General features: G+C 52.3%; 2 protein-coding genes and 1 non-coding gene across 4 annotated transcripts, besides 9 other annotated features; 1 reads left to right on the plus strand and 2 right to left on the minus strand.

The window, feature by feature from the left end:
- Positions 97-536: a silencer, noted in NCBI's record as "silent region_14375". NCBI's record gives its function as "represses an Ori minimal core promoter by ATAC-STARR-seq in GM12878 lymphoblastoid cells {active_cell/tissue: GM12878}" and the evidence as "EXISTENCE:reporter gene assay evidence [ECO:0000049][PMID:35858748]".
- INKA1 (inka box actin regulator 1) lies at positions 260-2029 on the plus strand. Of its 2 annotated transcripts, none has more exons than NM_203370.2 (2): positions 260-442; positions 1180-2029. In NM_203370.2, the coding sequence occupies exons 1-2, from the start codon at positions 392-394 to the stop codon at positions 1984-1986; spliced, it is 858 nt and encodes a 285-aa protein (NP_976248.2). In that variant the 5' UTR covers positions 260-391; the 3' UTR covers positions 1987-2029. The 2 variants fall into 2 exon arrangements, with proteins under 2 accessions (NP_976248.2, NP_001353210.1); NM_001366281.1 differs by having other exon boundaries at positions 260-362.
- A 178-nt stretch (positions 2030-2207) lies between these two features.
- UBA7 (ubiquitin like modifier activating enzyme 7) lies at positions 2208-10952 on the minus strand. The gene is made up of 24 exons (NM_003335.3): positions 10731-10952; positions 10478-10646; positions 10248-10382; positions 10061-10167; positions 9647-9737; positions 9407-9542; positions 9108-9205; positions 8869-9015; positions 8272-8454; positions 7983-8090; positions 7751-7831; positions 7516-7671; positions 7262-7427; positions 6977-7182; positions 6814-6878; positions 6541-6724; positions 6389-6463; positions 5975-6158; positions 5385-5467; positions 5019-5111; positions 4735-4926; positions 3072-3164; positions 2896-2996; positions 2208-2436 (listed from the first exon to the last, which is right to left on the minus strand). Exons 1-24 carry the CDS (start codon positions 10784-10786, stop codon positions 2307-2309), a joined length of 3039 nt encoding a protein of 1012 aa, NP_003326.2. The 5' UTR covers positions 10787-10952; the 3' UTR covers positions 2208-2306.
- On the minus strand, positions 3136-3244 carry MIR5193 (microRNA 5193). The gene has a single exon (NR_049825.1). It is a non-coding gene; the product is annotated as a microRNA 5193 (primary transcript).
- Positions 3215-3509: an enhancer, noted in NCBI's record as "tiled region #10954; K562 Activating non-DNase unmatched - State 5:Enh, and HepG2 Activating DNase matched - State 8:EnhW". NCBI's record gives its function as "activates a minimal TATA promoter and a strong SV40 promoter by Sharpr-MPRA in K562 cells, with weaker activity in HepG2 cells {active_cell/tissue: K562 | HepG2}" and the evidence as "EXISTENCE:reporter gene assay evidence [ECO:0000049][PMID:27701403]".
- Positions 3496-3775: an enhancer, noted in NCBI's record as "active region_19876". NCBI's record gives its function as "activates an Ori minimal core promoter by ATAC-STARR-seq in GM12878 lymphoblastoid cells {active_cell/tissue: GM12878}" and the evidence as "EXISTENCE:reporter gene assay evidence [ECO:0000049][PMID:35858748]".
- Positions 4405-5301: an enhancer, noted in NCBI's record as "H3K4me1 hESC enhancer chr3:49844839-49845735 (GRCh37/hg19 assembly coordinates)". NCBI's record gives its function as "activates a minimal SCP1, AML or CMV promoter by ChIP-STARR-seq in primed H9 embryonic stem cells {active_cell/tissue: H9 hESC(primed)}" and the evidence as "EXISTENCE:reporter gene assay evidence [ECO:0000049][PMID:30033119]".
- Positions 4506-4675: an enhancer, noted in NCBI's record as "active region_19877". NCBI's record gives its function as "activates an Ori minimal core promoter by ATAC-STARR-seq in GM12878 lymphoblastoid cells {active_cell/tissue: GM12878}" and the evidence as "EXISTENCE:reporter gene assay evidence [ECO:0000049][PMID:35858748]".
- Positions 4776-4825: an enhancer, noted in NCBI's record as "active region_19878". NCBI's record gives its function as "activates an Ori minimal core promoter by ATAC-STARR-seq in GM12878 lymphoblastoid cells {active_cell/tissue: GM12878}" and the evidence as "EXISTENCE:reporter gene assay evidence [ECO:0000049][PMID:35858748]".
- Positions 4976-5035: an enhancer, noted in NCBI's record as "active region_19879". NCBI's record gives its function as "activates an Ori minimal core promoter by ATAC-STARR-seq in GM12878 lymphoblastoid cells {active_cell/tissue: GM12878}" and the evidence as "EXISTENCE:reporter gene assay evidence [ECO:0000049][PMID:35858748]".
- Positions 8459-8958: an enhancer, noted in NCBI's record as "H3K27ac hESC enhancer chr3:49848893-49849392 (GRCh37/hg19 assembly coordinates)". NCBI's record gives its function as "activates a minimal SCP1, AML or CMV promoter by ChIP-STARR-seq in primed H9 embryonic stem cells {active_cell/tissue: H9 hESC(primed)}" and the evidence as "EXISTENCE:reporter gene assay evidence [ECO:0000049][PMID:30033119]".
- Positions 10686-11075: an enhancer, noted in NCBI's record as "active region_19880". NCBI's record gives its function as "activates an Ori minimal core promoter by ATAC-STARR-seq in GM12878 lymphoblastoid cells {active_cell/tissue: GM12878}" and the evidence as "EXISTENCE:reporter gene assay evidence [ECO:0000049][PMID:35858748]".

Genomic DNA, 24329 nt, shown 5'->3' on the forward strand with positions numbered 1-24329 from the left:
GAACAAACGGGGAGGATGAGGCCCCCGCACGGAGGCGACCTGTCCTGCGTCACGCAGCAAACGCAGGGTCCACTCAACAGTCTGGGGGCTCGGGGGGTCCCCGTACCGGCCCCGTCCGGCTTCCAGTTATGACCCCGCCCTTCCCACCCAGAACCGCGGCGGAGTCGGGAGGGACGCCGGGCTTTAGCCCCGCCCCCTTTGGCCGCGGGGCCGGGGCGGGGCGCGGCTGCCAGATGTCGGGGCGGCGGCGGCGGGAGCTACGGAGAGCGAGGAGTCGCGCAGGCAGGCGGAGGCTGAGGGCGCCGCTGGCCGGCCCTCCCAGCCCTCTCCGCGCGGCTCCGCCGGGGTTCCAAGAGGAGCTAGTAGGTTCGGTGGGGGCCCTGGCATGGACATGCACAGCGCTCGGCTTGACAGCTTCCTTAGCCAGCTCCGCTGGGAACTGGTGAGGCTCGGGAGCGGGTGTGGTTAGTGAGGACGCGTGCGGGATGCCAGGCTGCCGCCCGGCCGGAACAACAGACGGGTGCGGGGTGGCTCCAGCGTGCCGGTCCGAGGCGGGGTGGGGGCGGCGTGGCGCATATGGCTCAGATGGCCCGCGTCGGGTTTCGGACGGTTGGGAACTGAGCTGAGCATCAGATAACAGCATCCAGCTGGCCGTGCTGCTGGAACGGCGCGGGAGGAGAGAGTGGAAGGGGGACTTCTTTGGGGGCGGGGCATGGGGCGGCAAGGGACTAACGAGGTGCTGGCGCTGCTGTGAACGCCCCCTACTTCAGGCTGGCCTATGCCTCCCTTCTCTACCCCTCACCTAGCAAGCGCTCTTTCTGTGAAAGACGCTTTGGGCTTTGGGAGCTGAATCCCCCAATAGGCACGGGATGCCCCTCCAGTCCTGGGCAGGACCTACTTCCCCGTTCAGGCCCGCAACCCTGCCTGCCTGCCCGCCCGCCCTGGTGGCGGGTGCCGACTTGCCCGGCCCTGCATGCTGCAGCCTGCCAGACTGCCACCAGGTCGGTGGATGAGAACCACACCAGCTTCGAGTGCCAGCACCCCTATGCCTGCCCTGTGCTCACTAACACCCTGCTGCCCAGGCCAGCAGGCCTATCTAACCTTCCTGGACCCTCTGTTCTCTGGGCTGGCCTGGTGACAAGTGATACCTCTCCGACTTCTGCCCTCTCTTCCCCTCAGTTGTGTGGTCGGGACACAGGCTCACCCTCAATGCCTGGTCCCCTGCAGCCAACCTCCCAAACTGGCCCAGATGTGCAGCCCAGCCACCAGCTTAGGGCCTCGGGTGCCTTGGAAGAGGACTCAGTCTGCTGTGTGGAGGAGGAGGAAGAGGAGGAGGAGGAAGCAGTGGTGACAGAAGACAGGGATGCAGCCTTGGGAGGCCCCAGGGAGCATGCCCTGGACTGGGACTCTGGCTTCTCGGAGGTGTCAGGCAGCACATGGCGAGAGGAAGAACTGCCTGTATCCCAGCGCCCAGCACCCTCAGCACAGCCCCTTCGTAGGCAGTGCCTCTCAGTCAGTGGCCTCCCCATGCCCAGCAGGGCCCCTGTAGCCAGTGTACCACCTGTCCACCATCCACGGCCCAAGTCCACCCCAGACGCCTGCCTGGAGCACTGGCAGGGACTGGAAGCAGAGGACTGGACAGCAGCCCTACTGAACAGGGGTCGCAGTCGCCAGCCCCTGGTACTAGGGGACAATTGCTTTGCTGACTTGGTGCACAACTGGATGGAGCTGCCTGAGACAGGGAGTGAAGGGGGTGACGGAGGTGGGCACCGTGCCCGTGCTCGGCCCCCTCAGTTCCTGCTTGGCCTCTCTGAGCAGCTTCGGCGCCGGCTGGCCAGGGCTCGGCGGACAGCTATGGCAGGAAAGCGGCTGTCATGCCCACCTCGCCCAGAACCTGAACTGCCTGCGGATGTCTCACGCTTTGCAGCTCTCATGAGCTGTCGTAGCCGCCAGCCCATCATCTGCAATGATGTCAGCTACCTCTGACCCTGCCCTCCAGCCTGGGACAATAAAAGCCTTTTTTCTAGACTGTCCTGGCTCCATACCCCTGAGGCACTAAGAGGCAGCCCCAGCCCTGTGAGGCACTGCCCAGGGAGACAAATCTTCTGAAGAGCTTTTTTTCTCTGTGTGAAGGTCCCTGTCATGCCCATGTCACACCCGTGTGCATTAGTGCACTGTTTTCTATCGTCCATCCTCTCTGCAATGCCTTCCTTTAACAAGCATTTATTGAGTGCCTACTGTGGGCTTACAATGCAGGGCTTGGGATCCGGGGCTCCATTGAGCTAGGTGACAGGGTGGCTGCCTTGTCACAGCTCATAGTGCAGAGGTGGGAAGGCAGTGTCCTCGTCGTCACCCTCACAGCTCAGCTCTAGCACCAACACCCGCTGCCCAGGAGCAGGTGCCTGGCCTGTCAGCTGCTGAACCAGTTCTGTCACCCTGGTAGGGGTGGGTTTAGGGGAGATTGGAGAGGTGAGCCATGGCAAGCAGAAGGCAGCCTGGCATGGACTAGAGAGGGTGCTGGCAGGCCGTCAGGAGCCCAAGCCAGGAGCAGGAGCTGCTCAAGACAGGAAACATCTGAAACTATTTTAGGAGCAGCTGATGAGGCAAGCAGGAGGCAGGAAGCTATGGGTCCCTTGGGAGTGGGCTGTGAAAGGGGGGCTGTGCAGCATGTGGGGAGCCCATGGGGCTGGCCAAATAGGCAGCTCCTGAAGACTCCTCCTCAGGCTCTCGGCCCTCACCCCACCTCCAGCCTGTTTGCTGGCTCCATTTGGGGAAAGAATGCTTGGGAAGGTGTGAGGGGCCCAGAATGGGGCTGGGAAGACAAAAGGCAGTGTGGTCCCTAGCCCCAGCCTCCAGGGACTGGTGGGGCCTGTCTAAAGCCCCAAGTGGGCTCACCTGAGGGGCAGGTGCTGGGCCTGCTTTTCAGGTGACCATCCGGCCGCATAGAGCAGGGCTGAGCCGTGCAGCAGGATCCTCACCCTCAACCCGTGCTGCTCCTAGAGGAGAAAGGTCAGACACCAGCTGGGCCGGGCTGGGCTGAGCCTGGGGGTTGGGGTAGCAACAGGGCACACCTGAAGATGAGCCAGCAGCGACTCCAGGGTCCTCTCAGGCTGCCCAGCTGGTACCTTCAGACGGTCCCAAGAGGTCCACTTCAGGTGATGGAACTGGGATGAGGTAGAGGAGGAGTCAGAGACTTCTTACCTCCCCCCAACCCCCATCCCAGTTACCAGCAGCCTTTCCTAGGGGAAGAGCTGGACTAGCAGGAAACAGGAGCCAGGGGGTGGGGGGTGGGGGGGAGGTGGGATCTGGGCCCAGAGTCTCAGCCCCCTCCCCGTCCAGGCCGGGGCCAGCACAGGAAATGGGGCTATGGGGCCCGCACAGGGAAACAGACGATCCATCACATGGGCCAGTTGTGAGAGTGGGGGATGAGGGGGTGGTGCTTCCTGAGGAAACCCAGAGCAGGGCCCCTGCAGCCTCTGATAAAGCTGCTTGTTCCTCAAAGACAAGGCTGGGAGCTGGGGGGCACATCCTGTCCCCCAATCTTGTATGTACTGCCAGTGCCTTGGGCTACTCATTGGGACACAGGGGCAAAGGGCACAGTGACCACCAGGGCCCCACTGTCCCAGAGACCCCAGCAGGGATACAATGCATAGAGGCTTCCTCCTCCTGTCCCTTCCTTCCTTCCAAGAGTCTTGGGGTTCTGGGACCTAGAGCTAAGGACAGAAGGATGGCTGGCAGGTATCTAGAGACCAGGACAGGGGGTGCTTATCAGCCCCTGAGAAAACACACTGGGGTCAAGCTGAGACTAGGCTAGAGGTGAGATGGGGGCTTCTCCTTCACCTGCTTCACTCTGTGGACAAAGGCAGCCTGTATGCTGGTTAGAGGCAGGGTGCCTCACAAAGGGGCTCTGTGTGCTAGTCCAGAGGGACCCCAGGCTGCTCAGCAGAAACCCAGTGCTGGCCCATGACCTCTGCCCTCTCCCCTCATGAGGGCATTCCTTCTACCCTCATCCTTGCCCCAAGGAAATGCCAACTGCAGAGCCTGGGCACAAGGCTGGAGGCATTCACAGCGCTGCAGTCACAGGAACACAAATGCCCACAAGCCCAGGAACACACACATGTGTGCCCACATGCATCTCCATGCATGCCCACATTGAGGACACAGGAAGATGGGAGCCCTGCACTCCCATCTGATGCACAGATGTGCAAACTTGCTCCTTCCATACCCACACTCCGGGGATGCCCAGACCCCAGTTGCACTCACAACTGTGACACAAATACACTCAGGGCTGCAGACCCCACACCTCTAGTGGCAAGCCTATTACCTTTTAACTCAGCTTGTAGGAGGTAGGCCAGGGCCCCCGTACCATGCAGGGGGAAGCTAGACTCTTTCTGGGGCTGATGCCCTGGTCCCCTCCCCACTACCTACCCCTCAGGGGTACTCCAAGGAAGGAGGGGACTGTGGGGGATGTCTGGCTCCACTAATGAGTTAAAGCTGCAGCTCCCCCAGATCCTGGGCTTTGGAGGATTGGGGGTGGGGATGGCTGACGGCTGCTTCCTGTGTCTGACAGGTCCCAGCCTGGCTTCATAGCAGGAAGAGGGCTGGAGGGAGTCTTCAGGACTTCTGCACAGTCTGAGTTTCAGTGAGAGCCGGCAGCTAGATTGGGGCCTGTATGGGCAGGTGCAGGGGAAACCCAGGCCTAGTAGGGCTAAGGGTGGGGTATCATGGGCTCACCGTCTGGATGGCTGGGGCAAAAGGCATATAGCGGATGAGGTAGTTTTCAGCCAGATGTAGGTAGCTGTGGCGAAAGGCACTACGAGGCCGTGGCCCACTCACCACCTTATACAGCTCCAGGCCCAACAGGCCTGCCACAGCTGCTGTAGTGGTGGCAATGGCTGGGATAATCTGGCCCACAATTCGCTTGCTCTGCCAAGGACAAGAGATTTGGTCTGGGCCCAAGGCGTAGGGCCAGGGTTTGCCCTCCACCTCCAGGCCCAAGCCTCAAGGGGTGGGGTTACCTGGGCACGGTTGACCGGTGGAATCCCGTAGTTCTGACATCTCAGGCTAGCTGCCGCTACCACAAAGTCCACATGGAAGTTGCTGTCATCATCCTGTAAGGCCCAAGTCAAAGTAGTGTTAACACTGCAGCTGTGCCCCTCACCGTGGCCCACTGCGTGTCACTGCACAAGTCTCCACACAGTTCTGTCGGGGGGTTGCCCCACATCTCCTCTTGATCAGACAGGCTGAGGTTCAGGGAATGTGAGCTGCTTCCAGGGTCTTGCTGGGAGAATTCAGGCCAAGGGGCTCCAAAACTACCTTATTAGCTCCTGACCTTTCTCCACAAACTCCCCAGCCCCACTCCTCACTGCCACTTGGGCACCCACCTTCTCAAACATCAGAGGCTTCAGGGGAGGGCCCACACTCCAGACTTCCAGGGCTTTGTTCAGTTCCTTCTGCTGCTCAGGGCCTGTCAGGGGAGGGGATGTTGAGGCAGTCCTTAGCCCCTGTCTCCTGCACTCTTCTTGGAGCCCTGTGCCTATTCTTGGTCTTTGCCAAGCCTGTCACTTACTATTCCCTGATCAAATCAAGAAGCCCCCTTAATTAATGCTACAATCTCCCCTCTAGAAGCCCCAGTCTTCACCCATGTGTGCTCATGACCTCTGTGACCCTGTCCTCACCTGCAGGCCATAGCTAGACACTCCCCAGGAACCAATGGACTTTATTTATTTACTTATTTATTTTGCCAAGAATCTGCCACAAGAACTGGGATGTGGGGTAGGCAGCAGGGAGAAGACCTACTGAGGGACCAGAGGATAAGCCTGAAACTATGGAGGAGTGAGGTTAGGAGGCCTGAGAGGTAGCAAATTGGCTGTAGATCCCCTAGGCCCTATCTTCCTTCTGCAGCACAGGCTGAGGACAGGACAGGTTCAGGCCTTTGAAAGACAGCATGAGGGGCCAGGGCCAGGAGCCTCACCAAACTCAGCAGAAGCCGAAGCCAGCTCTAGATTACTAGCAAAGATGGGGGCCATCTGTTGGGGGTCAGGCTGTGGCAGCAGCTTCAGCAGCTCCCTGAGTGCAGTCCAGTCCTGTGAGCCAGGCAGCCCATGCATCTGGGCATACAGGTTGGCAGCTGCCAGTACGTAGAGGAGGTGTGTGTCCTGCAGCCAGACCAAGAGCAGGAACAGAGGCATGGGTGCATGGGGTGGGGGTCACTGTCCATTTGTGGATCTGTTTGAGTGCCTGCCTTTGCCTCACATGTAGACACCCATATATGCACAAGCATGGCTCTCTCTGGGCATCTGTGCATCTCTGCAGAATGCAGAAATGCCTACCTCTGCTCTGAGGGGCCACATCTCTATCTTGGAGCTCCCTACAGAATCCCACTCACTTGGTTGGTGTCAAACTCCAAGGGCTGGGGACACTGTTTGGGACCTGACCAGAAGGGAGTTCCATCCTCAAGCACCTAGGTAGGTAAGTAGAAGCTGCTGGGCTCAGTCTGGTCCCCCTGAGCCCCCAGCGTCCCAACCCCTAGCCACACACTTTATTAGGTGGGAAGTGCCTCAGCAGCTGTTTGATGCCATAATGAAAGCAGAGTTTCCAGTGGCCAAGAGCCCACGCCACACAGTCTTGCCAGTTCTGTGGACGCACTCTCAGGACCCCAAGCACTGGCTTCAGTAAGGTGAGTGTCTGTGGCTCATCCATGTCTGCCAGGGAAGTGTGTGCCCTGCAGAGAGAGGAGGAAGTGTGAGACTGAGTCCTGCAGACTCATGCTTGGAGCCCTGGACTCCCATCTGCCTCTGTTGGTGGCCTTACTGTTGGTGGTGGTTGATGGTCTCTGCAGACAGTCGGAAGAGTTCTTCAAACTCATGCCGGGCCCACTGTGGAGGAGGGAGGAAGAATGAGGTATCAGGTGGAGAACAGGTCTGCAGCTGAGGGCTGAGCTGGGTGGGGTGGGAGTCTCCAGGGTGCTTCCTACCTGCAGGGTGTGCTCGGCTGTGCTAGGGAAGTACCGCACGGTACAGACAGGGTAGGGGGCATCCTCAGAAGCTGCAGCTGAGGCAGGGGCTCTGTAGGCCTCAGTCACATGTGGCATGAATACTGTAGCACTGCCCCAGGTGCCCGATGTGCCTGCCTCCAGCAGTGGCTTCAGATAGTGGGTGCAACGAGCAGCCACATAGCGCCCTGGCAAGGGAGCAGTGGGTCAGAAGTGGGACTGGCACAGCTGTGGGCAAGGGACTGACCTCCGAAGTCAAGCACTCACGGGCCTGGAAACTGTCCAGGGCAGCAGCCACACCATCCACACGGGAGAAAAAGTTATCCCCATAGATGTGCTCTGTGGTGGGATCCAGTGGGTAGGTGAGCGGGATCACCTGTAAGTCTGGGTTCAGGCCCCGGGCAGCTGCTGCAGCCACCTCTGCCTTGGGTCTCTGGGAAGAAGGCAGGAAGATGTTGGGTGGGAAGCTGTATGGGAGGACGGTCTGGGATGCAGGAGTGTGGAGAGGGGTCAGCACTCACACCAACGTCCTGGGACCTGAAGAGGAACTGACGGCTGAGATTGGAGCGCTCTATGTGGTCCATGTCAACAACAGTCAAGCCCCCGCTGTTCCCGGCCCCCAGTCCCACTAGGGCAAAGACTTTGAGCAGCTCACAACCAATGGCACCAGCGCCCACCTGTTGGCAGGAACAGCCTTAGCCAGAGGGGCTGGGCTGGCTCTCCCAAAGGCACCCCCAGTCTCACCCCACAGCTCACCAGGAGGTAGTGCTGGCGTCTCAGTTTCTCCTGAAAACCAGCCCCAAACACTGCAATTTGCCCATCATAGCGGCTGCCTCTCTAGGGGACAGAGACGGGGTCAGTGATGGCTACTGGCCTGCATCTCCTTCTTATACTGAGTTTTCTGAATCAGGACCTGGAGGGCATTCCTCATGCTTCTCCCCTAGTCCTGATTTTGGACAAGGCTTGCACCCCTATCCCAGGCTCTCACCAGGGCACAGTCCTCAGGACTGGGAAGGAGCTCCCCATCTTCCGGAAGACAATCGAGGGCATCAAAGTAAAGCCACTGGTCCAGAGGCATGAACTTCCTGGAGATTGCCTAGGGGCAGCACTTCAGGCTGGGCACTCCTGCCACCTCCTGACCCCCCTCAGATCCTGGCTGGAGGCTTCACCCAGGTTGGTGAAGGCTCCAGGGCTGCTCTCTAGCGCTGGGTGCCCTCTGACACACACACTGATCTCCACATCTTCCCAGTACCCCCCACACCTATGCCTCTGCCCACCTTCAGCACTTCCTGGGCAGCTACTGCACCCAGCATGGCCACCATAGGGCTCAAGACACCTGCACTGCTTAGGGCGACTGTCCGCACTAGGGCCTCATCCAGTGGCTCTTCCAGTGGCTCTTCCTCTGTCCGCTTCAGTGGTTCCAGGTCCCGGGCCAGGCCCACCACAGTCTCTGCATCAACCTGTTGGTAGGACTCTGTGGGCATAGTAGCCCCAGCCTGAGCTCTACTCCTGACTCAAATCCTTCCAGCCACCCTCCATCCACCCTGTTCCACAGAAGAGGAAGCAGAAGCCTGGGTGGGAAGGCCTGGCCCTGCTGCCAGCCTGCACAGCACCACCAGAGGATGCCCAGTACCAGACAGCAGTCCAGGAGGCTTCACTAATCTGAGTGCAGCTTCCAGCACAGATCTGAGGGGTCGGGGTGTAGCAGGAGTCCCCAGGATGTGTGCCTGGCACTTCCATGGAACCAGTCTCTACTCTAAAGGCTGCAGTGTTGGGAGATCAGACTTGGATTTGTGAATGGTCATTGTTGCCTCTGGCAGGTGGGACCCCAATAAATGACAGAGGCTGGGGGTGGGAGCAACAGGACTACTCACAGGATCCCAGGGCTGGGGTGGCCGGCCATGGAGGTGCTGGAACTTGTGCAGTGCACAGAAGGCCTGATGCAGGCAGTGGGCATGGTGAACTTCCTGGGAGCTCTGGGCCACCACATGGGGCTGGAGCAGGGCTGTGTCCAGGGACTTCTGCAAGGGCACCTGGCTCAGGGTCTAGTCCAGAATGCTATGGGCCCCTCAAGGCGACCAAGCTCCCCTACCTCAGATGCACTTGCACTCACATGTCTCACAGTCTTGGGTCTCTTGACTTCAGTGATAGCCCCACCACGCAAGTACCGAGAGAAAGTTGTTGTGTCTCCAATCTCCAGGGACCCATCCTCTGAGGGAGTTCCAGTCTAGTCAGTAATGATCCTTGAGCCTGAGTAGTTCCCACACCCCATCCTATCTTGCATCTGTGTCCCAGACCTTGCTGCACCTTGTAGAAGGTGGAGGGAGAAAAACCCATCCCAAGGGCCAGGCTGTGCTCACTTCCAGTGGAGGCTTGGGCCCTGCACCTGGAATTGGAATGGGATTGGCTTACCCCGCACGTGGATAGACCGGGGATCACAGTCGTTGAGCTCAACCATTCCCTCAATTCCCGAGAAAGTCACCAAGTCTCCATCACGGAAGTAGTGGGTATTGGCCCCTTTCCTCAGAGTGAGAATGCCAGGGGAGCCCTGGGTAGGAGGAGGCTTGGCTCAGGGTTGCCTGGACCTGCCTTCCACAGGCCCTGGCAGCCTCTCCTTGGTCAGCAGGTGAATGCCTACAGCTCAGCACCCACCTGGGAGATGTGCTGGATGGCAGCTGTCAGGGGTTCTGCCTCTGTGGGGTCCTGCACAGTGAAGTCCTCACCAAAGTCACAGAACAACTGCCTGAGATGGGGTGGTAGGGGTCACTGAGGTGGCTTACAGATTGTACTTAAGGATAGGGGATACTAGGGCAGGGCCAGAGGGCCAGAATTGGGAAAGGAATGCAAGGAGAGGCTTGGGAACTAGAATTTGAGAGGGTTACTGGAGCAGGTCTGGAGGCTAGGTTGGAGGAACCAGAGGGCAGGACTGGGGACCAGAATCAGAAAGGCATGCTGGGATAGACCTGAGGCTGGTTGGAGGGGCACTGGAGCAAGCCTGGAGCTGAGGACAGCATGAGGCCAGTTGCTGGCTGTAATATGGTAGGCTGGGCAGGCAGTCTTACTCACCCCACGAGGCCCCGGGTGTCAGCCGCCAGAAAGCAAACTCCATGCTTATGACACAAGGTGCCCACCTTCAGCTGCTCCTCCAGCTTTGCAGCAGTCAGCACCACCACCTGGGTGGACACAGTGATCAGCAGGGCCAAAACCATTGCCCAGCCCTTCCTGCTCTTGAGGGCTGCAGGCCTGAGCTGACCTGGAAGTCCAACAGCAGGTCCTCAGTGATGTCACCCGTGTGCACGACGACCTGGACAGCTCTGTTGAGCTGAGCCAAGAGCTCTTGAGAGGCCTCGGCTCTGCTCCTTTCCAAGTCCTGCTCTGAGAGGAGAAACTAGGGAGAGAGCCAGTGCAGCCTGAGCAAAGACACTCCTCTTGGGCCGTGCCCCCACCTTGGTCTGGCAGCCCATAGCCCCCCAGGACACTTACCTGGGCAGCCAGGTCGGACCAGCAGGTGGGGTGGGGATCATGCAGAGTGAGGCTGCCCACACCCATCAGAACCAAGTTCTTGGCCACCTCGGCCCCCAGGCCCTGCAGGCCTGACACCAGGACCCTGGCTCCCTGAATCCTCTGCATGGCAGGTGAGCCCAGCACATACCTGTGGATGGGAAGCAGAAGGCAAGCAGTTGTAGATCAAGGTCTGAAGACCATCCCACTCTCCACCCCCCACCTCGGGCCTCACAGCTGTCTTGAATACAGCTCCTCATCCAGTAGCTTCGAAGCGTCCAGGGCATCCATCCTCAAACCTGGGGCTGAACAGTAGGCTGCAGCGCTCAGAGATAGGGTCTTTGTGTAGGTGGCGGTGACAGTAGGGGCCAGTGCCCTGCTGTAGCCAGTGCAAACAGGAACCAAGGCCAAGCGAATAAGGGACGCTGCTGGTCACAGCTCTCTTCCTGGAGAAAAGAAAAGTGAAAGTTAAACTATGCTCTGAGCTGGCTCCTGATCCTGCCTCCAGACGCCAGCCCCAGACAGGCCATTCAGGGTCTAAAACCTGGGATGAGTTCCAGGACTCTCAAGAGGTGATCAGTCTCTGAGTGTCAGACCTGAGGGTGGGAGGCATGGGGCAGCCACATTCACACATGTTCTTATTTTCCTTTTAGACTTTTATTTTGAAATAATTATAGACTCATAAGAAGTTGCAAAAAAAATAGTGCAGAGAGGTCCTGTGTCTCCTTTTGCCTTCTTAGGAACCTGGGGCCAGTTCTCTGGGAGATGGACCACTGTTTGTCACGAAACTACGTAATAGCCAAACCAAGTGCTGTCTTAAGTTCTTTTTTGTTGTTGTTGTTAATTTAGGTGAAATTCATGTAACATAAAGTTAACAATTTTAAAGTGTACAATTCAGTGGCATTTAGTGCATCCACAGTGTTGTTCAACCATCACGTCTATCTAGTTCCAAAATATTTCATCACCCACAACGAACATACCAAACACATTCAATAATTACCATACATGTGGCCGGGCATGGTGGCTCACACCTGTAATCCTAGCACTTTGGGAGGCCAAGGCGGGTGGACCACCTGAGGTCTGGAGTTCAAGACCAGCCTGACCAACATGGTGAAACCCCATCTCTACTAAAAGTACAAAAATTAGCCAGGCATGGTGGTGCATGCCTACATGTAATCCCAGCTACTCGGGAGGCTGAGGCAGAAGAATTGCTTGAATTCGGGAGATGGAGGTTGCAGTGAGCTGAGATCGAGCCACTGCGCTCCAGCCTGGGCAACAGAGTGAGACTCAGTCTCAAAAAAAAAAAAAAAAAAAAAAAGAATTGCAAAATGTGACCTCTTATGTCTATTTCCTTTCACTTAGAATGTTTTCAATGTTCATAGAGTTTATAGCCTGTATCAATATTTCATTCCTTTTAATGGCTGAATAATAGTCCATTATATGTATATACCACAATTCGTTTATCCATTCATCTGTTGATGGACATCTGGGTTATTTCTAACTTTTGGATTTGTGAATAGTGCTGCTATGTCCTTTTTTTTTTTTTTTTCTTTTTGAGACAGTCTCACTCGGTTGCCCAGGCTGGACTGCAGTGGCACAATCACAGCTCACTGCAGCCTCGATCTCCTGGGGTCAAGTGATCCGGCTGCCTCAACCTCCCAAGTAGCTGGGACTAGAGGTGTGCACCACCATACCCTGTTAAAGTGGTTTTTGTTTGTTTGTTTGTTTTTGAGACAGGGTCTCACTCTGGTTGCCTAGGCTGGAGTGCAGTGGTGTGATCATGGCTCACTGCAGCCTCAGTGTCTTGGGCTCAAGCAATCCTCCCACCACAGCCTCCTGAGTAGCTGGGACCACAGGCATGCACCACCACATCTGGCTAATTTTTCTTTTTTTTTTTTTTTTGAGACGGAGGCTTGCTCTGTCACCCAGGCTGGAATGCAATGGCACAATCTTGGTTCACTGCAACCTCCGCCTCCTGGATTCAAATGATTCTTCCGACCCAGCCTCCTGAGTAGCTGGGATTACAGACACTGCCATCATGCCCGGCTAACTTTTGTATTTTTGTAGAGATGGGGTTTCACCATGTTGGCCAGGCTGGTCTTGAACTCCTGACATCAGGTGATCCCCCCGCCTTGGCCTCCCAGAGTGCAATTTTTCTTTTTTTACTTTTAGTAGAGACGGGGTTTTGATATGTTGCCTAGGCTGGTCTCGAATCTCTGGACTCAAGCAATCTGCCCACCTCAGCCTCCCAAAGTGCTGGGACTACAGGCGTGAGCCACCGCACCTGGCTTTGGCTAATTTCCTAATTAATTACTTGCTTTTGTAGAGATTGGGGGTGGGTATTGCTATCTTGCCCAGGCTGGTCTCGAATGCCTGGCCTCAAGTGATCCTCCCACCTTGCCCTCCCAAAGTGCTGGGATTACAGGTGTGAGCCACCATGCCCAGCCTGATTCTTGAACAAGTACTATGTTGCCCAGGCTGGTCTCAAAATCCTGGGGTCAAGTGCCTCGGCCTCCTAAAGTGCTGGGATTACAGGTGTAAGCCACAGCGCCTGGGCTTTCAGCTTTTTTGGGCATATACACAGGAGTAGAGTTGCTGGGTCATATGGTAATTCTGTGTTTGTTTATTATTTATTTATTTATTTTGAGACAGGATATCACTCTGTCACCCAGGCTGGAGTGCAGTGGCGCAATCTGGGCTCACTGCAGCCTCAAACTCCCTTCCAGGCTCAAGTGATCTTTCTGTCTTAGCCTCCCAGGTAGCTGGGACTACAGGCATGCGCCACCATGCCTAGCTAATTTTTTGTAGAGATGAGGTCTCACCATATTGCCTAGGCTGGTCTCAAACTCCTGGGATCAAACAGTTCTCCCACCTCAGCCTCCCAAAGTGCTAGGATTACAGGCATGAGCCACCGCGCCTGGGTTTATGTTGAACTTTTTGAGGAACCACCAAACCGTTTTCCCTATTTTATATTCCTACCAGCAATATACAAAAATTTCTATATATCCACACTGTTGCCAATACTGGTTATTTTTCTTTCCTTTTTTTAAAAAAATGACACCAATCCTAGTGAACGTGAAGAGGTATGTCTTTATGGTCTTTTGTTTGTTTTCATTCAATAACATTTACTGGTGTGACAGAAGTACTAGGTACAGAAACCAGGGCTGGATTTTGAAGTAAAATGCTATCTTTAATAGACTCCAAAGAGTATTTAAGGAAATTCAATATCCATTCCTGCTTTTTAAAACTCTCATTAAAATAGAAATAGATAAAATTTTTAAATTGTGGTAAAATATACATAAGATAGAATTTACCATTTAAACATTTAAGTGTATAATTCAGTGACATTTAAGTACATTCACAATGTTGTGTAACTAACTATCACCACTATCTATTTTTAGAGCTTTTTTTTTTTTTTTTTGAGACAGAGTCTGGCTCTGTTGCCCAGGCTGGAGTGCAATGTCACCATTTTGGCTCACTGCAACCTCTGCCTCCCGGGCTCAAGCCATCCTCCCACCTCAGCCTCTGGAGTAGCTGGGACTACAGGCACAGCGCCACCACACCCAGCTAATTTTTGTATATTTTGTAGAGACAGGATTTCGCCATATTGTCCAAGATGGTCTCCAATTCCTGAGCTCAAATGGGATCTGCCTGCCTTAGCTTCCCAAATTGTTGGAATTACAGGTATGAATCACCTTGCCCAGCCAAAAATTTTTTTAACTTAGCTGGGCATGGGCCAGGCACGGTGGCTCATGCCTGTAATCCCAGCACTTTGGGAGGCCGAGATGGGCGGATCACCTTAGGTTAGGAGTTCGAGACCAGCCTGGCCAACATGGCGAAACCCTGTATCTACTAAAAATACAAAAATTAGCCGGGCCTGGTGGCAGGCATCTGTAATCCCAGCTACTCAGGAGGCTGAAGCAAGAGAATCGCTTGAACCCAGGAGGCGGAGGTTGCAGTGAGCTGAGATTGTACCACTGCAGTGCAGCCTGGGCAACAGAGTGAGATTGCATCTTAAAAAAAATAATTAGCTGGGCATGGTGGTGTACTTCCTTAGTCCCAGCTACTGAGGAGGCTGAGGTAGGAGGGTCTCTTGAGCCTGAGGTGAAAGGTGCAATGAGCCATGACCACGCCAGTGCACTCCAGCCTGGGTGACAGCCCCTGTCTCAAAAAAAAAAAAAAAAAAAGGGACAGGCATGGTGGCTCATGCCTGTAATCCCAGCACTTTGGGAAGCCAAGGCAGGCAGATCACGAGGTCAGGAGATCGAGACCATCCTGGCTAACATGGTGAAACCCCATCTCTACTAAAAATACAAAAAATCAGCGGGGCGTGGTGGTGGGCACCTGTAGTCCCAGCTACTCGGGCGGCTGAGGCAGGAGAATGGCGTGAACCCGGGAGGCAGAGCTTGCAGTGAGCCGAGATCGCGCCACTGCACTCCAGCCTGGGTGACAGAGCGAGACTCCATCTCAAAAAAAAAAAAAAAAAGTGTGTGTCTCCCCGTCCCCCCATTGCATTCCCCCATTGGCTTCTTCTCTTACCATGTGGTCTCTGCACATGCCAGCTGCATGTTGTCTTCTGCTGAGTAGAAGGAGCCTAATGCCTTCACTGGAAGCAGATGCTGCTGCCACACTTCTTGTACAGCCCAGACATCTGTAAGCCAAATAAATTTTTCTTTTTTTTTTTTTTTTTTTTTTTGAGACAGGGTCTCACTCTATCTCCCAAGCTGGAGTGCAATGGTACAAACGTGGCTCACTGCAGCTTCCTGGGCTCAAGGAATTCTCCTACTTCAGCCTCCCAAGTAGCTGAGACCACAGGCGTGCACCACCACGCCCAGCTAATTTTTAAAAATTTTATAGAGGTGGGGTCTTACCATGTTGTCCAGGCGGCCTCAAATTCTTGAAAGCAAGTGATCCTCCCATCTTGGCCTTCCAAAGTGCTGGGATTACAGGCGTGAGCCACCATGCTCAGCCGAGATTTTTTTTTTCTTTTTTTTTGTTTTGAGACAGAGTCTCGGTCTGTTGCCCAGGCTGGAGTATAGTGGCGCAATCTCGGCTCACTGAAACTTCCACCTCCCTGGTTCAAGTGGTTCTCCTGCCTCAGCCTCCCAAGTAGCTGGGATTATGGGCATGTGCCACCAAGCCTGGTTAATATTTTTGTATTTTTAGTAGAGACGGGGGTTTTACCATGTTGGCTAGGCTGGTCTCGAACTCCTGACCTCCAGTGATCTGCCTGCCTCGGCCTCCCAAAATGCTGGGATTACAGGTGTGAGCCACTGTGCCCGGCTGAGATTTTGTATGACTGATTCAATACCCTTACTAGTTATAGTAAGGTATTCTATTTCTTCTTTGAGACAGTTTGTTTAGTTTTTGTGTCTCTAGGAATTTATCCATTTCAACTATGTTATATAATTTGTTGGCATAGAATTGTTCATCATACCCTCTTATAATTCTTTTTTTTGAGACAGGGTCTCGCTCTGTCACTCAGGCTGGAGTGCAGTGGCACGATCACAGCTTACTGCAGCCTCAACCTCCTGGGCTCAAGCAACCCTCCCACCCCAGCCTCTTGAGTAGCTGGGACTACAGGCCCGTGCCACCATGCCCAGCTAATTTTAGTATTTTTAGTAGAGTTGGGGTTTCACCATGTTGGCCAGGCTAGTCTCCAACTCCTGGACTCAAGTAATCCGCCTGCCTCGGCCTCCTAAAGTGTTGGCATTATAGGTGTGAACCACCTTGCCTAGACTAGTTTGTTCTTCTTCTAGTTCTTTCAGGTATACAGTGAGATTACTGATTTTAGATCTTTTTGTTGTTTGCTTTTTGAGACAGGGCCTCACTTTGTAGCCCAGGCTGGAGTGCAGTGGCATGATCACTGCTCACTGCAAATTCTGTGTCCCGGGCTCAAGTGATCCTCCCACCTCAGCCTCCCAAGTAGCTGGGACTATAGGCCTGCACCACCACACCGGGATAATTTTTGTATATTTATTTTGGTAGAGATGGGGGGTTCACCATGTTGCCCAGGCTAGTCTCAAACTCCTGGGCACAAGTGATCCTCTCACCTTGGCCTCCCAAAGTGCTAGGATTACAGGCATGAGCCACTGCACCCAGCCAGATCTTTTCTTAAAATACAGGTCTTTACAGTTATAAATTTCCCTCTCAGTTCATCTTTTACAGCATCCCACAAATTTTGGTGTATTTTCATTTTTATTCATCTCAAAGTGTTATTAATTTCCCTTTTGATTTCTTCTTTGACCTATTGATTAAGGATGTATTGTTTGAAAGTCATGTGAGCTGGGCGTGCTGGCTCACACCTGTAATCCCAGCACCATGGGAGGATGAGGCAGGAAGGTGACTTGAACCCAGGAGTCCAAGACCACTCTGTGCAATATAGTGGGAACCTGTCCCTACAAACAAACACCAAAAAAAACCTCTAGCCAGGTGTGGTGGTGTGCACCACTAGTCCCAGCTATTCAGGAGGTTGAGGTGGGAGGATCGCTTGAGCCCGGGAGGTCAAGATTGCAGTAAGCCATGATCATGCCACTGCACTCCAGCCTGTGTGACAGAGTGAGACCTTGTCTCAAAAACAAAATAAAGTCTTACCAAGGAGGATGAAGGAGCAGAGAGTTCCAGGAATCCATCTCTCCACAGCAAAAATTGAGCTGGTTGAAATTATCTGAAGCAACCATTTTGGAAATTTGGTCTAGTAGAACATTTTCAGCATCCACGGGAGAGGTTGATGAAGAGACTGGTAAACTTCAGTAAATTTTCACTTTTCTCATAGCAGCTGCTGCCTCCAGTCCAGTGATAAGCATCTACGTGGAGAGCTCCTATAGACCCCTTCCTCTACACACACATAGTTTCCCCTATTGAAGTTGCTCCCAAGTTTTGGCAATTATAAATATAGCTGCCATAAATATTTATGTACTGAGTGTTGTGTGAACATCATTTTTTAAAACTCATTTGCTAGCTTTGGGTTTTTAAAAACTCATTTGGGGCCCGGTGCAGTGGCTCACGCCTGTAATCCCAGCACTTTGGGAGGCTGAGGTGGGCAGATCACCTGAGGTCAGGAGTTCGAGACCAGCCTAGCCAACATGGCGAAACCCCATCTCTACTAAAAATACAAAAATTAGCCGGGCATGGTAGCAAGTGCCTGTAATTCGGGAGGCTGAGGCAGGGAGAATTGCTTGAACCCAAGAGGCGGAGGTTGCAGTGAGCTGAAATCACGCCAGTGCACTCCAGCCTGGGCAACAGAGCAAGACTCTGTCTCAAAAACAAACAAACAAACACTCATTTGGTCTTTGGAAAATAATGAAAAGCACAATTGCTGCATTAAGACTACATTTAGCTTTGTAAGAATGCCGTGGGTGTGGTGGCTATGCCGGGATTAAGACTACGTTTAGCTTTGTAAAAATGCCGCGGATGTAGTGGCTATGTTGGGCACGGTGGCTCACACCTGTCATTCCAGCACTTTGGGATGCCTAAGTGGGCGGATTGTCTGAGCTCAGGAGTTTGAGACCAGCCTGGGCAGCATGGTGAAAACCCCATCTCTTCTAAAAATACAAAAAAATTAGCCGGGCATGGTGGTGTGCGCCTATAGTCCCAGCTACTCGGGAGGCTAAGACGGGAGAATCACTTGAACCCGGGAGGCAGAGGTTGCAGTGAGCCTAAATCGGGCCACTGCACTCCAGCCTGGGTGACAGAGTGAGACTCTGTCTCTAATAATAATAATAATAATAAAAAATACAGGGCCGAGCGCAGTGTAATCCCAGCACTTTGGGAGGTGGAAGAAGGGAGATCACCTGAGGTCAGGAGTTCGAGACCAGCCTGGCCAACACGGTGAAACCCTGTCTCTACTAAACATACAAAATTTAGCCAGGTGTGGTGGCAGGCGCCTGTAATCCCAGCTACTCGAGAGGCTAAAGCAGGAGAATCACTTGAACTTGGGAGATGGAGGTTGCAGTGAACCGAGATCATGCCACTGCACTCAAGCCTGGGTGACAAAAGCGAGACTCCCTCTCAAATAAATAAATAAAAATACAAAAATTGTTCAGGTGTGGTGGCAAGCATCTGTAATCCCAGCTACTCAGGAGGCTGAGGCAGGAGAATCACTTGAGCCCAGGAGGTGGAGGTTGCAGTAAGGTGAGATCACCCCACTGCACTCCAGCCTGGGCTACAGAGCAAGACTCGGTCTCCAAACAAACAAACAAACAACTGCCAAAGTGTCTTCCAAAATGGCCATATACCACTTTGGATTCCTACCAGCAATGAATGAGAATTCCTATTGCTCCACATCTTGTCAGCATTTGGTGGTGTCAGTGTTTTGGATTTTAGCCATTCTAATAGGTAGGCAGTGCTATCTTACTGTTTTAGTTTGCAGTTCTCTGATGACATATAATGTTGAACATCTTTTCATATCCCTACTTGCCATCTGTATATCTTCTTTGGTGAGATGTGTATTCAGATCTTTGACCATTTAAAAAATTGGGTGATATGGCCAGATGCAGTGGCTCACACCTGTAATCCCAGCACTTTGGGAGGCCAACGTGGGAGACTTACTTGAGGCCAGGAGTTTGAGACCAACTTGGCCAACATGACGAAACCCCATCTCTACTAAAAATGCCAAAAATTAGATGGGTGTGGTGGAGCACACCTATAATCCCAGTTACCCAGGGGGCTGAGGCACAAGAATTGCTTGAACCTGGGAGGTGGAGGTTGCAGTGAGCCAAGATCACGCCACTGCACTCCAGCCTGGGTGACATAGAGAGACCCTGTCTCAAAATGAATAAATAAATAAAAATAAAATTTATTTGTTTTCCTTTTTTTTTTTTTTGAAACAAAGTCTCACTTTGTTGGCCAGGTTGGAGTAAAATGGCGCTATCTCGGCTCACTGCAACCTCCGCCTCCCGGGTTCAAGCAATTCTCCTGCCTCAGCCTCCTCAGCAGCTGGGATTACAGGCGCCCGCCACCAAACCCAGCTAATTTTTGTATTTTTATTAGAGATGGGGTTTCACCATGTTGGTCAGGCTGGTCTCGAACTCCTGACCTCGTGATCCGCCTGCCTTGGCCTCCCAAAGTGCTGGAATTACAGGCGTGAGCCACAGCGCCCAGCCTGTATTTTTTCTTAGAGATGGGGTTTCGCCATGTTGCCCAGGCTGGTTTCAAACTCCTTGGTTCAGGCGATCCTCCTGCCTCGGCCTCTAAAAGTGCCGGGATTACAGATGTGAACCACTGCACCCGGTCTAATTCCAAAGTTTATATGGAAAAGCAAAAGACCAAGAATAGCCAACACAATACTGAAGAAGAGCAAAGTTAGAGGAGTGACACTTCCTGACTTCAAGACTTACTATAAAGCTACAGTAATCAAGACAGTAAGGACTGGACATGGTGGCTCACACCTGTAATCCCAACACTTTGGGGGGCTGAGGCAGGAGGATCACTTGAACCCAGGAGTTTGAGACCAACCTGTCTACACGTGAGACCTGGTCTCTATTTAAAAAGAAAAAAAAAGGAGGGGGAGCCAGGTGTGGCAGCTCATGTCTGTAATCCCAGCACTTTGGAAGGCTGAGGCAGGCAAATCACCTGAGGTCAGGAGTTCGAGACCAGCCTGGCCAACATGGTGAAACCCTGTTTCTACTAAAAATACAAAAATTAGCTGGGCGTGGTGGCATGCTGCCTGTAATCCCAGCTACTTGGGAGGCTTAGGCAGGAGAATTGCTTGAACCCGGGAGGTGGAGGTTGCAGTGAGCTGAGATTGCGCCACTGCACTCCAGCCTGGGCAACAGAGTGAGACTTCATCTCAAAAAAAAAAAAAAGAAGGAAAGAAAATCAAGATAGTATGGTGTCAGCAAAAATAGACCAATGAAACAGAATAGAGCCCAGAAACAGACCCACACAAATATAGTCAACTGATCTTTGACAAAGGAGCAAAGGTAATCCAATAAAGAGTAGTCTTTTCACAAATAGTCCTGGAACAATTGGCCATCCATATGCAAAAATCAAAATAAAAATCTAGACATATCTTAGACCTTTCACAAAAATTAACTCAAAATGGCTCATAGACCTAAATGTAAAATACAAAACTTATCAAACTCCTAAAAGATAACATAGGGGAAAATCTAGGTGACCATGGTTTGGTGATGACTTTTTTCTTCTTCTTCTTCTTCTTCTTCTTTTTTTTTTTTTGGAGACAGAGTCTTGCTCTGTCACCCAGGCTGGAGTGCAGTGGCGCGATCTTGGCTCACTGAAAACCTATTTACTTTTCAGCTCCAGAGTTTGTCAGGGATAGTTTGTCAAAAAAATTCTTCCTGTGGCCAGGCGTGGTGGCTCACGCCTGTAATCCCAGCACTTTGGGAGGCCGAGGCGGGCGGATCACCTGAGGTTGGGAGTTCAAGACCAGCCTGACCAACATGGAGAAACCCTGTCTCTACTAAAAATACAAAATTAGCCGGGCATAGTGGCGCATGCCTGTAATCCCAGCTACTCGGGAGGCTGAGGCAGGAGAATTGCTTGAACCCAGGAGGCAGAGGTTGCGGTGAGCAGAGGACGTGCCATTGCACTCCAGCCTGGACAACAAGAGCAAAACTCTATCTCAAAAAAAAAAAAATTCTTCCTGTGAGTGGGCCATACTTCCCTGGTTCTTCATACGCTTTATGATTTTTTTGAGAACTGAATATTCTGGCCAGGCATAGTAGCTAACACCTGTAATCCTAGCACTTTGAGAGGCTGAGGCTGGCGGATCCCTTGAGACCAGAAGTTTGAGAACAGTCTGGGCAATATGGTGAAACTCCATATCTACTAAAACTACAAAAAAAATTAGGCCAGGCGCAGCGGCTCACACTTCCAGCACTTTGGGAGGCCGAGGCAGGCGGATTACCTAAGGTTGGGAGTTCAAGACCAGCCTGACCAACATGGAGAAACCCCATCTCTACTAAAAATACAAAATTAGGCCAGGTGCAGTGGCTCACGCTTGTAATCCCAGCACTTTGGGAGGCTGAGTCAGGTGGATGACGAGGTCAGGAGTTCAAGACCAGCCTGGCCAAGATGGCGAAACCCCATCTCTACTAAAAAAAATACAAAAATTAGCCAGGTGTGGTGGCAGGCATCTGTAATACCAGCTACTTGGGAGGCTGAAGCAGGGAATTGCTTGAACCCGGGAGGCAAAGGTTGCAGTGAGCCGAGATTGCGCCACTGCACTCCAGCCTGGGCGACAGAGCGAGACTCCGTCTCAACAACAACAACAATTAGCCGGGCGTGGTGGTGCATGCCTGTAATCCCAGCTACTCAGGAGGCTGAGGCAGGAGAATTGCTTGAACCTGGGAGGCAGAGGTTGCAGTGAGCTGAGATTGCACCAATTGCACTCCAGCCTGGACAACAAGAGTGAAACTCCGTTTCAAAAAAAAAAAATTGCCAGATGTGGTGGCACATGCCTGTAGTCCCAGCTACTAGGGAAACTGTAGCCTGGATGACACAGACCCTGTCTCAAAAAACAAACAAACAAAAAAAAACAATAAAAATAGAACAACAAAAAACCACCCCAAACTGAATATTCTGAGTATTTTTTTGTGGTAACTCTGGAAATCTTATTCTCCGACTCCTCAGGGATTGTTAATTTTTTTTTTTTTTTTGACACTGGCAACTCTGTTGCCCAGGCTGGAGTGCAGTGGTGCTATCTCGGCTCACTACAACCTCTGCCTCCCGGGTTCAAGTGATTCTCCTGCCTCAGCCTCCTGAGTAGATGGGATTACAGGCATGTGCCACCACGCCCGGCTAATTTTTTGTATTTTTGGTAGAGACGGGGTTTCACCATGTTGGCTCAGACGGTCTAGAACTCCTGACCTCAGGTGATCTGCCTGCCTCGGGCTCCCAAAGTGCTGAGATTACAGGTGTGAGCCACTGTGCCTGACCTAAATTTTTGCTTGTTGAGGGCTGGAGCCATCTGTGATTTTTTCCAAACTATTTATGCAAAGTGTGTGTCTCTTGTGTGTGTGTGGTCACTGAAGTTTGTTATCTCTTATAAAGTAATGGTAAAAACCACAATTACTTTTGCACCAATCTAATATTTTATTTTGCAGCAACCTAATTTTTTATTTATTTATGAGACAGGGTCTCACTCTGTTGCCCCGGCTGAACTGCAGTGGTGTAATCACTGCTTACTGCAGTCTCCAACTCCTGGAATCAAGCAATTCTCCTACCTCAGACTCCCTAGTAGCTGGGAGTCTGCAGGCATGCACCACCACACCTGGCTAATTTTTAAAATTTTCTGTGGAGCCAGGGTCCCACTATTTTGCTCAAGCTGGTCTCAAACTCCTAGGTTCAAGTATTCCTCCTGCCTCAGCCTCCCACAGTGTGAGCCACTGTGCCGGGCCTCTATTATCTCTGTAGTCAGCCAGTGAGTGAGCTGACAAAGATTTTCTGGCTTAAAAAACAAACAAAAAAAGGCACGAGTCCTTTAAATCTTCTGATATGTTGCCAAGGTGGGGTTGGGTGGGGTATTAATGCAGGAATTGCATCTAAGAGGCTGAATGAAACCAAGGCAAGCATCTCAGAGTACCTCCAGGTCCGTCAAAGCGCACAACCCCAGCATTTTTGGAGGGCAAGGTTCCCGTGCCTGTTCTGGCACCAGTCAGCTGCTTTCAGAACTGGTGCTGCTATCCCCACAGCCGGATGGGGCTGAGGAATGGGAGAAGTAGCTGCTTGATTCACACTACTCTCTTCATCAAGCAACCCCCTTGTTAAATTTCCGGGTTCTGAAACAGTTGATTACAATCACTGCTCTTTTCAGCTCAATGGTTGCTTTGATTCAGGAACCAACCCCTAGAGCTTCCAATTCCACCATTATGCATGCCTTCGCTCCACACTCTTTTGATTACTATAGCTTTGTAGTTAAGTTTTTAAATTGGGAACAACTTTTATCTTTTCTTTAAAACAATTTTAAAAAATGTTTTGGCTATTCAGAGCCTCTTGCAATTCCATATAAATTTGAGAATCAGTTTTCAAATTTCTGCAAAAAAAAAAAAAGGCCATTGGAATTTTGATAGGGATTGTATTGAATTGTAGAATGCTTTGGGGGTTATTGCCATCTTTAAAGTCTTCCAATCCATGAACACAAGATATCCATGTATTCAGGTCACAAGTTCATTTTTTGGTAATCATCACACCTATCTATTTCCAAAACTTTTGCATCACCCTAGACAGAAACTCTGTGACCATCAAGCAATAATTCCCCTGCCCCCTCCCTCTATCCCATGCTAACTTCTATTCTGTCTCTGTGAACTTGCCTGTTCTAGACACCTCATGTACGTGGAATCATACAATAGTTGTCTTTTTGTGTCTGGCTTATTTCACCTAGCTGCCATAAGTTCTTAACCTATACGCAACACAGATCCCCACTTTATTTTTATTTTTGGGAGTCTTGCTCTGTCGCCCAGGCTGGAGTGCAGTGGAATGATCTCGGCTCACTGCAACCTTTGCCTCCTAGGGTCATGTGACCTTCCCATCTCAGCCTCCCAAGTAGCTGGGACTACAGGTGCACACCACCATGCCCAGCTAATTTTTGAATTTTTGGAGAGATGGGGTTTCACCACGTTGGCCAGGCTGGTCTTGAACTCCTGGGCTCAAGCAATCTACCTGCCTTGGCCTCCCAAAGTGCTGGGATTATGGGTGTGAGCCACCATGCCTGGCCCAGATCCCCACTTTACAGATAAAGAAGCTGAGCACAGGGGCCAGGCACGGTGGCTCATGCCTGTAATCCCACCACTTTGGGAGGCCAAGGTGGGTGGATCACCTGAGGTCAGGAGTTCGAGATCAGCCTGGCCAACATGGTGAAACCCCATCTCTACTA

This window comes from Homo sapiens, chromosome 3, assembly GCF_000001405.40.
Source record: "Homo sapiens chromosome 3, GRCh38.p14 Primary Assembly".
NCBI classification, from domain to species: Eukaryota; Metazoa; Chordata; class Mammalia; order Primates; family Hominidae; genus Homo; species Homo sapiens.

What these genes read in the sequence shown, in the direction of transcription:
- INKA1 (NM_203370.2), top strand. Translation starts at nt 392, where the DNA reads ATGCACAGCGCTCGGCTTGACAGCTTCCTTAGCCAGCTCCGCTGGGAA. An exon ending in GCCAGCTCCGCTGGGAACTG is followed by an intron (nt 443 to 1,179) that starts GTGAGGCTCGGG and finishes TCTTCCCCTCAG; the next exon opens with TTGTGTGGTCGGGACACAGG.
- UBA7 (NM_003335.3), bottom strand. Translation starts at nt 10,786, where the DNA reads ATGGATGCCCTGGACGCTTCGAAGCTACTGGATGAGGAGCTGTATTCA. An exon ending in GGTCCGACCTGGCTGCCCAG is followed by an intron (nt 10,383 to 10,477) that starts GTAAGTGTCCTG and finishes CTCTCTCCCTAG; the next exon opens with TTTCTCCTCTCAGAGCAGGA. An exon ending in TCAGGTCCCAGGACGTTGGT is followed by an intron (nt 7,428 to 7,515) that starts GTGAGTGCTGAC and finishes CCTTCTTCCCAG; the next exon opens with AGACCCAAGGCAGAGGTGGC.